The sequence below is a fragment of the Homo sapiens genome, chromosome 1, assembly GCF_000001405.40.
Source record: "Homo sapiens chromosome 1, GRCh38.p14 Primary Assembly".
Taxonomy (NCBI): Eukaryota; Metazoa; Chordata; class Mammalia; order Primates; family Hominidae; genus Homo; species Homo sapiens.
The window spans coordinates 227,212,274-227,225,190 of record NC_000001.11 but is presented as its reverse complement, the minus strand read 5'-3'; the positions used below and the strand labels follow the sequence as shown (position 1 = coordinate 227,225,190).

Below are 12,917 nucleotides of genomic sequence, written 5' to 3'. Positions count from 1 at the left end.
TAACAAAATTGATGTAGTTTTATAAACATTAATATAATGAACTTTTCTTACCAAATATTTAGTCTTTTTCCCATGTATTGAAATATTTCTTTGTAAATCTGATTTCTTATGGCCCCAAAGAAGTCCATTATGTGGATATTTGATAATTTACTTAACCATTTCCTTATTGTTAAGCTAGAATGTGTGCTCCATGAATATAAAGATTTTTTTTCCCTCTGTTAGCTCATTGCAGTTTCCCAGTACCTACAACAGTGTCTAGTGCGTAGTAGGTGCTCAATATGTATTTGTAGCATGAGTGAAAGAATGTGCTCTATTTTTTCCATATTATAAATGCCTTATAAAACGTTTTTGTACCTAATGCTTTCACTACACTTCAAATGATTTTCTAAGAATAAATTTCTAGAAGAGGACTTGCCAGTTGAAAAGACATAGAAAAGGTTGTATGATTTCAAATTAGTTTTCTAATCCACAATAATGTTACCTGTGGCTATTTTTCTTTACACTTTAATTTTATAAATTTTCTATAACATATTAGGATTAAAAGAGTTATTTTTTTTCTTTTAAGTACATTTCTATTTATTCAGAGAGCAGTGAGCAGTCTTCTAACTGGAATATAAGGTTTTTGTTGGTGGTGGTGAAAGATGAGGCTTGAAAGGTCACAGCTGGGTGTGGTGGCTACACCTCTAATCCCAGCACTTTGGGAGGCCGAAGTGGGCGCATCACCTGAGGTCAGGAGTTCGAGACCAGCCTAGCCAACATGATGAAACCCCATCTCTACTAAACATACAAAATTAGCCGGGGTGGTGGCACGCACCTGTAATCCCAGCTACTTGGGAGGCTGAGGCAGGAGAATTGCTTGAACCTGAGAGGCAGAGGTTGCAGTGAGCTGAGACTGCACCATTGCACTCCAGCCTGGGCAACAAGAGCGAAACTCCATCTCAAAAAAAAAAAAAAAGGAAGAAACATCACTTGGGCAAAGCAGTGAATGGCTTGGTATGCTATGCTAAGGACCTTTATTCTGCAGGAATTGGAGTCCTATAAACTATTAATAAGCAGAATACAAAAACTTCATAAAATAAATAAAAACAAAATACAAAAAAGCAGAGTACAGATGCCACCTGTCTTTTGAAAGTGTTATGTCCCAGTGAACCCACTGTAAATTAAAAATAAGTCTTGAAGATGCATTTAATATACCTAACCATCATAGCCTACCTACCGTAGCCTAGCCTACCTTAAACGTGCTCAGAACACTTATGTTATTAGCCTACAGTGGGGCACAATCATCTAGCAATACTGTACAGTGTAGAGTGTCGGTTGTTTGCCCTCATGACTGCGTGAGAGCTGTGGCTCGCTGCAACTGACCAGCATCCTGAAAGAGTCTCATATGGCTTTCTATTGAATTCATGTTGTTTTTGCACCATCTGTAAAGTTGAAAAATTGAAAAATCATCAGTTGAACTATTGTAAGTTGGACATCATCTGTAGTGGTATAGTTAGAACTCTTCTAGAAAGGTAATAGTGATAGTGCTGAGCAAGGATTGGTTAGAGAAGGGGACAAAGGGAGGTGCTAGATTTCTCACTCTCTAGTCTCCATATCTCACCAGTCACTGACTCAGTATTTCTTCAGTTTCTTCCTCTTTTTCTTAGTTAGATCCTCTCACCTCAATTACTGCTATAACTTTCCAATGTCTTTCCCTGCCTTAAAACCATTCTCCACAGAGCTGCTAGAGTGATCTAGCTAAAACTATCTGCGCAGAATGGTTCCCCTGTTATCTGTATTTTTAAGGTTCTAGTTTATTAACATGACATACAGCTTCTCTGCTCTTTGGACCCTTCAGCACCATTTCTTGCTACTCCCTGTTGTGCTCTTTATGTTCCTAGGAAAGGAAGCTGCTTATTGTCCTGTGTATCTTCTCCCCCACAAATATTTCCTGCCTGTGTGCCTTGCTTATGCTGTCCCTACTTCCCAAACTATCCCATCCTCAGTCACATCCATTTCAGTCCCCTTTTTTCTGGAGTTCACTGTGTAAGACTCAGGTGTCAGCCACTTCATTTAAAAAAACTTTTAACATACGTATTCACATACTATACACTTTCCTCCTCTACTCCCACTTTGGGGTCAAGGATCTCTCTTCTTTACTTTTTATAGGACCCTGATTTTTATCTCTCCTTTCCCTGTAGTACTGTTATGGTACTGTCTGTGTACTACTGTTTAGGTGTGTTTTGCACAATGGACTGTGAGAATTTGGGGGGCAGGAACTTGTGGGGGCCAAGGGTCCAGCCCTTGTTATTGGTCCAACCTTTGGCTCTCTGAAAGTTTGCTGAAAAATGAACATGCACAAGGCAGATTAATAGGAGAAAAGGCATACAAATTTATTTAACATGTATCCGCGGGAACCTGTATGATGACCCCAAAATACAGGGGAAATTGCCCATTCTTATACTTAGGTTCAATAAAGTATAGACAGCTGTGTAGAAATGTGATTGGAGAAGAAAAAGGGTATGATCTAATGCTAACAGACTGAGTGGGGAAACCCAGCAAGGCCTGTGTGTCTAAAGTCTTCTTGGCCTCTCTGTGCAGCATTCCTTCCTTCCAGGTATGGGGCAGGACCCTCTCTGGAACGGGGGTGTGATGACCTACAATGAAACAGGTAAAATCTGATAGTTTTTTTGTTGTTGTTGTTTCTTTGTTTGAGACAGAGTCTCGCTGTGTCCCCCAGGCTGGAGTGCAGTGGCGTGGTCTTGGCTCACTGCAACCTCAGCCTCCCGGGTTCAAGCCTTCCTCATGCCTCAGCCACACGAGTAGCTGGGACTACAGGTGCCTGCCTAATTTTTTTGTATTTTCAGTAGAGATGGGGTTTCATCAAGTTGGCCAGGCTGGTCTCAAACTCCTAACTTTAAGTGATCCGCCTTCCTTGGCCTCCCAAAGTGCTGGGATTACAGGCATGAGCCACCGTGCCCAGCTATTTTTTTAAAGACAAGGTCTCATTCTGTCACCCAGGCTGGAGTGCAGTGGTGCAATCACAGCTCACTGCAGTCTTGACCAAGCTCCCATCTCAGCCTCCCAAGTAGCTGGGATCACAGGCATGCACCACTATCCCTGACTAATTAATTTTTTTTTTTTTTTTTTTTTTTTTTTGGTAGAGATAGGGTCTTCCTATGTTGCTCTGGCTGGTCTCAAACTCCTGGGCTCAAGTAATCTTCCCTCTGCAGCCTCCCAAAGTGCTGAGATTATAAGCATGAGCCACCATGGCTGGCAATAATTTCTTTGTAGCCAGTTTTTATACCAAAAGGCTGAGGGAAAACTAGAGTAATATTTTTAGGTTTTATGGCTGGCTTTGAGGAAAGGGAGTTCTAGTTTCTGTGACCTAGAGAAGAGGGATTCTAGTTTCTATGGCTTACCTTGGGGGAGAATGGGACTGAGAGACAGAGCAGGAGAAGGTCAAAGAAAAACTTCTGTGTCTAATGCAGCTGAGTCCTTCATTTTGGAGTATTGTTTTCTGAGCCCAACAAACTTTTTATTCAGCTTTGTGTTCTCAGCAGTTAGCATAATGTATAGCATATAGTAATGTGGTAAAAAAAAAAAAAAGCCTATTATTTTTCTGTTGAAATAATGAGGTCTTGAACTAGGCCAGGGGTAGTGGGAAGGGAGGGTGGGTGGGAGAAACATTCAAAAAAGTCAACTTTGGATGTTAGTGATAAGTTAAAGGTATGTAATTTATAGATGATGAGATTTGCAACTTGAGTGAGTTTGGTATACAGATTGTTGACTTCTTAAATTTAAGACATTTGCTGAACATGCTAGAGAGATGACCAGTAGGCAACTACAAATAAGGGTATAGATAGTAAGAGATAGGGATTTAGGAGTTGCCAGCATATTGGTATTAACTGAGGCTTTGGAATAGATAATATAAGTCAGGAAGGAGAGGAGATGTAAAAAAGGTGGAGTAGAGATCCTTGGGGAACAATATTTAACAGGTTACAGCAAAAGAAAGATTAGAGAAGTATATTAATTGTCAGCAGTGTCCAGTAATGAAGAAAGGGTAAAGCAGATGAGAATTGAGAACAATTTATTTGGAAATTAGACAGTTGTTATTGAACTTTGAGAGAATAGTTTCAGTCTAGTAGAGTGAAATAGAAATTAGATTGAAATAGGTGTTTGAAAGAGGTTGAGAAGCAAACAAATGATGAGCAAGTGGAAAAAGCAAGCATGTACTACTCTTTCAAAATGTGCTTTTTGGAGAAATGTGTTGTGGAAAGGGATGTGGTATCAGTTCCTTGAGGAAAAGGTAAAATGGGGGTGACGTTTTTGTTCATATTTTTGTTCTTGGATGGGGAATGGTCTTGGAAAAGTTTTTCAATTGATATCCAGGAGAAAGGGGGATTGAAAGCAGGAAAGAAATTTTTAATGGAATAAGGACAGGAAGGGAAGGAAGGAGAGGGTTTGGGATCAAGATGTCAAATGATACTGTTAGCCCTGAAAAGTGGTAGGGTTCAAAAGGAAAAGAGGTATGAAGCGCAAAAACATTTAGAGTTGGCATGAGGGAATGTAAAAGGTCTGTTATCTATAAAGTAGGCAACCAGGTCATTAATTGCTGGTGAAGAGTAGATAGGACAGGAATGGGATAGTTTGTGGTGGCAGGGTGGCACAGGACATTTTGGAAGATTAGTAAAGTTCTGTTGAGAGTGATAGAATTAATGTTAGGACTGCAGGTAGATTTGAGGGTTCAGCTGAGATTGAGCTATGGAAATAAAAAGCAATAATAAAAAGACAAAGTATATATATATTCTTATATATATTATTCCTTACATAATATATATTTCCTTATATATAACCTTATTTTATATATATCCATATATGTATGTGTGTGTGTGTGTGTATATATATATATATATATATATATATATAACATGACTTTTTTTCATTAAAGAGACTGAAGAAAAAAAGGGATTTGAAAAATTACTTGTAGTTGCTCATTAGGATATGTAAGGCAGTTACTTAAGGACAGCCAAATTTGCTCTACTGTCCTGATACTTGGAAGAATTAAAGAATGGGGTACAGGGCTGGGGAGTTGGTGGCAGCAGAGAGCAGTCCAGCAGTCTGTCAAGTCCTGCCTGGTCACAGGTCAGTGCCATTTAAACCTCCAGGATCAAGTCAGAGCACTTGACGCATGACTGATAATATTTGAGATTTAGTGTGAGGTGTCTTTTTAAATTTTTTTTTGGTGTGTTCTTGCTGTATGTGTGTACTGATTAAAATATGTAAAATAAAAGCAACAGGTTGCTGGTAATTAACTCTGTTATTTCAAGACAGAATTGATTTTGTATAGAAAGGTAGTATTGGCTGGATTATGAGCTTTACTGCTTATTCATTCCTGATGAAAATATCTCTGCTGGGCTTACATACCCTGTAGTGTTTATGAACTAGTAGGTTTAGAAATGAAGAGACCCTAGAGAGATAATCATTTCCTCCAAGATGTTTTGTCTTCTACCAGGAATTTGTCAATAGATATATAGGCCCAGTGGGTAGGCTCACCTCTGCATGAATATTTGATAGGAGCATTTCTATCAGTTATGCTCTTTCTTAAAAAAAAACATGAAAATAAACGCATCATTTATGTAACTCTTATAAGAAATGCATAAATCATGGGAAACAGTGAGCAAGATATAATTGAAATTCAGCAGCTCAGTGAGTTACGAACCTTCTCTCTACAACTCAATTGTGTTAGTTACTGCTTAACTTAACGCTGGGTTTTCCTTTTTGCTTTCAGGAAAACCTTTAACTTACGCCCTGGGTGTTGCCTGTCAACAGTTTCCTGGTGGCTCACCGCTTCTGCCTGCTCCAGCCTTGCTCCGGCAGCTTCAAGGCTTCTGGGCTTCAGAGCTTGTTGTGAAAGCTTGCTGCTTTGGCCTGCTACCCCTGCTTCAGGTGTCAAAAGCTTTTAATTAGCTTGCTTCCTCTAATTACTATAACTAGGCCCTTACGTGTCTGCATAATCCAGTTCTAGGGTCTGAAAGGAGAATTACCTTTAGCCATTCATTCTTCTTTAAAAGATCTTTTACTTTGGCCCTCCTGGCATTCATGGGAGAGTAAGAAGTTATATTGCATGATTCACCTTTGATGGTGCTAGTCTTCAGTCTGTAGGGGCAAACTGGTGTGGGCATACTGTATTTTATAGCCAGTGTTTGTTCTGATTGGTTGATGCCCATGCTGTCCCAATTTTAAAGTATTTTGACTATTGCTACTGAATATATAAATTGTGTCTCCATAGAAAGGATATCTCTAGCTGGTTTAATAAACTCTTTGTAGTGTTTTTAGTTTGCTTATTAAAGATAATATTTAGTTCCCTCCCCCATTTTTAATAAATATTTTGAACACAAATTGGTCGCTCACAGAACAGTTTTTAAAAATGCAGATACAGTGATTTCTATACATTTTGTAATGATCACCATTAACATGTGTCAATAGGTATCAGAATTATAGGTATGATGAATGGGAAGAGCTCTTCAGTACTTATATAACTATTCAGTACTTGGAGTAGTAAAGTATACTAGCTCTCTTATCAGACAGCCAGGTACATATTCTGGTTCTATTACTTATTAATTTTGTCACTATGAGTAAGTTAATTAACTTCTCCAAACATTAGTTTACTAATTTAAGTGGGGATTGTAGAATCTGCTTTAGATTGGTGTAAGGATTAAATGAGGGGTAATATATGTAATATGCTTAGCCCAGTGCTAGGCACAGAATAAGCTTTTTATAAATAAGAGTTATTTTTTGTTATTATTATTAATCATAAATGATAGTAGATGATATGTAGGGGAAATTAAAAGGTGAAAAAGACAATAAGTAATGAGCAGCAACAGACAAAAGATATTAAAGGCCAAGTTGTGAAGTCAGGACTTCGATGCCTGTTAAGAGAGCAGAGTGAGCTGGAATAAGCTGATAGATGTTTAATAAATCACAAAATACACAGTTGTATCTCTTTTGTCATAATACCTTATTTTTGAGTTTTAGTGTCAGTTTAGTTGTATACTTGCAGCTGAGAATATTGATGCTGTAAACTTTGCATGTATATACACCCACATAGATTACCAGTCATTCATCATTAATTCAGCTAATGTTTATTGAGTAGCTATAGATTCCCAATTACTAGGTGTGTACTAGTGAACAAATAGGAAAAAAAAATCCCTGCCCTCATTAGCTTATATTGTAGTGAATGAAGCAAACAATGAACAAAGTACTTAAATAGAATACATAGTTCATGAAATAATGACAACTAATGGTAAAGGGAAGCAAAGAAATGGGTTAGAAAATGTCAAGGGGTAAAGTGACATTTCATTGAAGGAGTGAGAGAGAAAGTTGTGTGGCTTCGTGGGGCTAGAATATTCCAGGCCTAGGGATCAACAAGTGCAAAGGCTAGTTGGGATTGAGTGTGGTGATCATTATAGCTGGAGCATAGTGAACCAGGGGGAGAGTAGCACGAGGTCAGGGAAGGTGGAGGGCCAGAACATGTTGGCCCTATAAGGCATAGTAAGGATTTTGACTTTTACTTGGAGACAGATGGGAAACCATTGGAAGCTGTGGAGCAGAGGAGTGTCATGATCTGAGCTACATTTCAAGAGGATCAACTGTGGCTTCAGTGTTGAGGATGGGTTGTGGGATGAGAGGGCAGAAGTAGTAGAGAGGTCAGGTAGGACAATCCAGGCAAGATTTTCTTTTTTTTCTTTTCTTTTTTTTTTTGAGACAGAGTCTCACTCACTTCAGCCCGGGCTGAAGTGCAGTGGCGTGATCTTGGCTCACCACACCTCCGTCTCCCGGGTTCAAGCAATTCTCCTGCCTCAGCCTCCCTAGTAGCTGGGACTACAGGCGCCCGCCACCACACCCAGCCAATTTTTGTATTTTTAGTAGAGATGGGGTTTCATTATGTTGGCCAGACTGGTCTCGAACTCCTGACCTCAGGTGATCCACCCACCTCGGCTTCCCAAAGTGCTGGGATTACAGACATGAGCCATGTAATAGTAGCTTGGAATGGGTTGGAACAGAGGAGATATGGTGAATGAATTCTTGCTATATGCAGGAAGACTAGATTTATAGAACTCCGTGGCAACTGTTTCTGTATTCTACAACCTGTAACTTAAGAATGAACATAAAATACTGTTACAGCATTCTGTAACTGCAATTTGTAACTAGTTTGTAGCTTCAAATGATAATACATTGTGTTTAAGAACTGATTTGTATACATTTGTCACTTAGTGATTATTTCTGTAGTGTTTACAGAAATAATTCTTGAATTATTATTACAGGTTTTCTAACATCATGTTTTTACTATGAAGTCTTTCAAGACATTGCTAGTGTTTTTAAAAATATATCTTTGTTCTGTGTTAAACTATAGTCTTGCAGTTCATACTAAATGTACTTTTAATTTTGATCAAGCTAAACAAGAAAGGACATTTTAACAGACTACACTGTTATATGTTAAGCTGTGGTTCTTGAAAATACAGGACCTGAGGTTAGAGTTCTAAGAGAATCCTCCTCTTCTTGATTTTTAGCTACTGAAATGAATATCAGTATGACTTGCAGTGTTAAAGGAGAAAAGCAAGATCAGTTTGATTTTATTGTATTACTTTGTAAGCCTCATATTCTTTTCTCATCATTTATCAATTCAATAATTCAAGAATATTTCCTGAACTGACTTTTATTTCACCACACTCACCTTATTCCAGAAAAGATTTTAGGTAGCTCATGAAACTGTTATAAGATAGGTTTGAAAATGTTTTCCACCCTGCAGCAGCATGGCATTCCTGATAACCACATACATGTGTAGTCTCATTTTAGCCATGATCAGTTATACCACAATACCTTGATAATTAGCGGTCATTTCATGACCAGGATGTGATGTGTGGTATCCCATACTACCTCATTCCATGCTTCAAATTTTATGTGTTTTATATAGAAAATGTAGAAAAGCAAGTAGAAATTGCATCACTTAGAAATACCTGATCTTTTGATAAAGCATAGAAATTTATGGTACATATTTTATGTGTGTGTGTGTGTATATATATATATAGAGAGAGAAAAAGTCACAGTGTACATACTTTAATAAACTTATTTGTTTAACATTATACTGTGAACTTTTCCGTATTAACATTCCTCAGTAATTTTTTCAAGTGTATGAGTAATTTTTCTGTCATACTGTGAGATACCATATTTAGTCAAATTGATCATGTAGAATATTTAAGTTCATTTCAATATTTTACTATTGAAAACCACACTGTGGTGAATATTGTGGCTTAGTTTTTATTTGTATATAGATATATTCAGTTGAGGGTATTTCTATCCATATTTCTATGTGAATATATTTGTCATAAGTCTAAAATTACAGAAAGTTAGAAATTAAAGAGATGAAAGATTTTTTTATTTTGGTAGTTAAACTGAAGAAATTGAGAGTTATATTCTTTGCCACATATTAGAGGTAGAGTTGGCAGTGAAGAGATTGGGCTGTAATGTGCTTAGTGCAATGCCTGGCACATAATCATAGCTAACACTTATTGAATGCTTACTAAGCACCAGACCCTTGAAAAACTTGAAATTATTTTTCACCCTGTGGCAGCATGGCATCCCTGATGACTGCACAGGTGTGTAGAATGGGTCTCATTTTGTCCCTGATCAGTTACACCACAATACCTCAATAGTTAGTGGTCAATAATCCCGAGTACAAGGATTATACTTGTATTAATTTTTCAAATCTTTACCACAATGATATAAGTATTGTTATTAACCCCATGATCATGACAAGGACACTGAAGTATTGAAAGGTTAAGTTTTTTGCCTAGAGTTATACAGCTAAGGACAAAACTAGGATTCAAACCCAAGTAGTCTGGCTTCAGAATCCATGCTATCACCACTCCCCAAAACAGCCACAATAAATGCTAGCTAAGTGTTTGAGTGTTCAATAAATATTAGGCGTCATCATTATTCCTACTGCACAGTTGCATATTCCAGAGGTGGTTTTGGTTCCAATATTTTTGGATTTTAGAAAGATAATTTAGTTTGTATACTCTATTTTATGTAACATTCTCATTGGGGTTTGGAGCAGCCCTTCATAAACAGATACATTCACGTTTCTTCAGTGAAGCATGTTTGTTTTTATACTAAGTGAGATTAAAAAGCAAGAATATTAATAGCCTGATGTCACTACATGCTGCCAAATGAGTTATGAAAACCTTTTGTCTTTGAGAATTGCAGATAAGGGATTATGGACCTGTATAAAACTCTTACCATAGTGCCTGGCATTTAGAACACACTCCTCCTTCTACTAGATTTATACTAGTAGTATTGGGTGGGTACTACTACTACCACTACTGTTATTAGTAGTTATCATCAGATACATACTTACAGAAAACTGGTGAATTGTAGAGTACTGTTAGTACTTTTCTCACACTGTGACCTTGGGAGGGGAAGACACCTAAGTTTTGGAGTCTTTCAGCTATTCTTCCCTCAATCAGAATAAGAGGGTGTAAGTCATAGTGTTCTGTGTGTTTTCCCCGCCCTAAATTGAGTCTTGTATAGCTTAGTGCTCCTGTCCCTCTATCCATGTGCACTCCCAGTTGTGCAGGGTTTGATTTTAGAGTCTAAGCAATAGCTCACGTGGTGTGTTCACCGCTTCAGAGATCTTAGTGAAACAACGTTTCAAGTTTTTCCTTATTCTTTATTACAGCCCTCTTTATGAGCCCATTGGGAGAACAATTTAATTGTTTGAAATTGAGATACTTCCTTTTCTTTCTCATCCATTTTAATTGATGAAAAACTATAATCACAGTCATTATAACCACTTATAACAATTACCAAGAAATATTTAGTATGTATACACTTACTGTAATTATATGGTCATGTTACTTTTATTGCAGTCTGATCCAAATATAAATTTATTAAATAACCTTGATATGCACATTTGCTATTAAGTTTTTTTTTTTTTGCACTTGAATTTAAACCTATACTCTGTTTTTGGAAATATCCCGTTGAACAGCAGTTTGAAGATCTGCTGTATATAGTTTGACCTCCCTTTCTGCATATTAGAGTAGCATTTCTCTTCCTCCCCACCAACCCCCAGTAACTGGAAACATCCTCGTTCAACCTTTGTTTTCCTCTTTTGTGGGCTAGCCTGTGGCCTATGGCAAGTCCAATGGCCTGGAAGTGGTCTTACAGATTATCTGGTTAAACTGAAGCAGAGAGATAGAAATGTAATCAATTTGTTGAGAGTGAGAAAGGGATTTTATTTATTGTATTTGATAGTTTTTGATCTGCAATTGAAATATAAAATACAGAAATAGATGTTCCTTTTTTTTTCTTTTTGGAAGGGATGTGTAAAGTTTAGTTTTTGTAAAATCGTTAGTTTTAATTGCTCTCTATGCGTATGTATATGTGTGTATGTGGTTTGGGGGTTATGGTATAGTATGTAAGAGTATGTGATATGAAAAATAGGATCGTTTTCAGTTTATTTCATATTGTTTGATCCTCACAAAACATATTTGTTTTGGCAGCTGGCCTTCCTTGTAACATGGTGTTGGAATTTTGCATGCATTATTTAATAAGCTCTAGTTCTTTCCTGTTGAGCATTTTGTTCAGTTTCTTAGTGATAGTAGATATTGAGTTTGAATTCCAGGGCAGAAAAGTTGGAAAGGGGGATTAATGTGTAATTACCAACTAATACAGTGTTCAAAAATACCAACTAATACAGCGTTCACAAATACCAACTAATACAGCATTCACAAATACAGTTATTAGTTTGGCACATGTTCACTAACTTTTTCATCTGGCAACATTATTTAATTTAGGATCTTAGAATTTGAACTGCATTGACATAATTGATAATTGGTATTTATTTTTTTACAGAGGAAAAAGGAAAATGGATGGCTGAAAAAATTATTTGTCATTATTTTAAAATTTATATTTCCTTTATCTTTTCTAGGTTGCTGTAGTAAAACTAAAAAATGCAGATAAAGTGTTTGCCATGAAAATATTGAATAAATGGGAAATGCTGAAAAGAGCTGAGGTAAGAGTCTTATGTATTGGAATATATAAATATTTTAGAAATATTTTTCAGGAATTATAAAATTCCATAGAGCTCATTAAATATTACTTGGTAACATTTTGTCTGTGGTGACATTTTTTAAGGCATAAAAGACAAATTCAACACAATTGTGATATAATTATGATAAAGGTTACAATCCATAATGCTAATTTAATATTAGTGGAATACTAAATGGAAACCCTTGTAATGGGGGGCTTATGCAGCTATATTTAAAGGATGTCTGCAAACTACTTTCTTCTATAGAAAGACATTTTGTAATGGTTGATTTCTAACGTGACGTAACTTGTTTATATTATTCTGTATTTATCTGTATTCTGCTACAAGCAAAAGTCAGCAGGAGTTTTGAACATGCCCTCTAGAAATTCTGTTTAATGCTGATTATGCAGTCACTTTGTATTTTGTTTTATATTACAGGAGTTGTAGTAAAATCTAGTAATGGAAGAACTGCCTGCATTTTTATGTAGATTTGAGGGAAGGATTGACTGGAGTGATGTTAAAAATATCCAGCAGCTGGTATGGCCTGGTCAGAACTGCTGTCACACATAGATTTGGAGTGGACTTCTGGGGGGTCCGCTGCTGTGCTGTATCATGGTGAAGGGTTGAATGGGATAGGCATTCTGGGGCTTCAGGGAAGCAGAACTTAACTGGTGTAGAATTCTGTCAGTATTTTAACTGGTAAAAGGTGATACTGACGAGCAGGCTGAGTAATAGCCCTGGAAGTTAGTAAGATTAGTAAGAAAATAATGACAAATTCGCCTTTAGAAATCTTTATCTGTCAGTACTTGTAGCAACCCAAAGATGAACAAACATACAGGGAAAAGCA

The 12,917-nt window shown here is 37.0% G+C and overlaps 1 protein-coding gene across 25 annotated transcripts in view, besides 1 other annotated feature; it reads left to right on the top strand.

Annotated features, from left to right (window-relative positions):
• The window catches only part of CDC42BPA (CDC42 binding protein kinase alpha), a 328,635-nt gene that overhangs the window by 93,302 nt on the left and 222,416 nt on the right, over positions 1 to 12,917 (top strand). For 24 of the 25 annotated variants that reach the window (NM_001366011.1, XM_017002580.3, NM_014826.5 and 21 more), the window contains one exon: positions 11,972 to 12,055. In NM_001366011.1, coding sequence (NP_001352940.1) covers positions 11,972 to 12,055 — 84 coding nt within the window. Of the gene's footprint in view, positions 1 to 5,770; positions 5,929 to 11,971; positions 12,056 to 12,917 lie in introns of all 25 variants that reach the window. The other variant, XM_047432346.1, reaches the window with a different exon arrangement.
• Positions 11,117 to 11,317: a silencer, noted in NCBI's record as "peak741 fragment used in MPRA reporter construct". NCBI's record gives its function as "represses an SCP1 promoter by STARR-seq MPRAs in K562 erythroleukemia cells {active_cell/tissue: K562}" and the evidence as "EXISTENCE:reporter gene assay evidence [ECO:0000049][PMID:32103011]".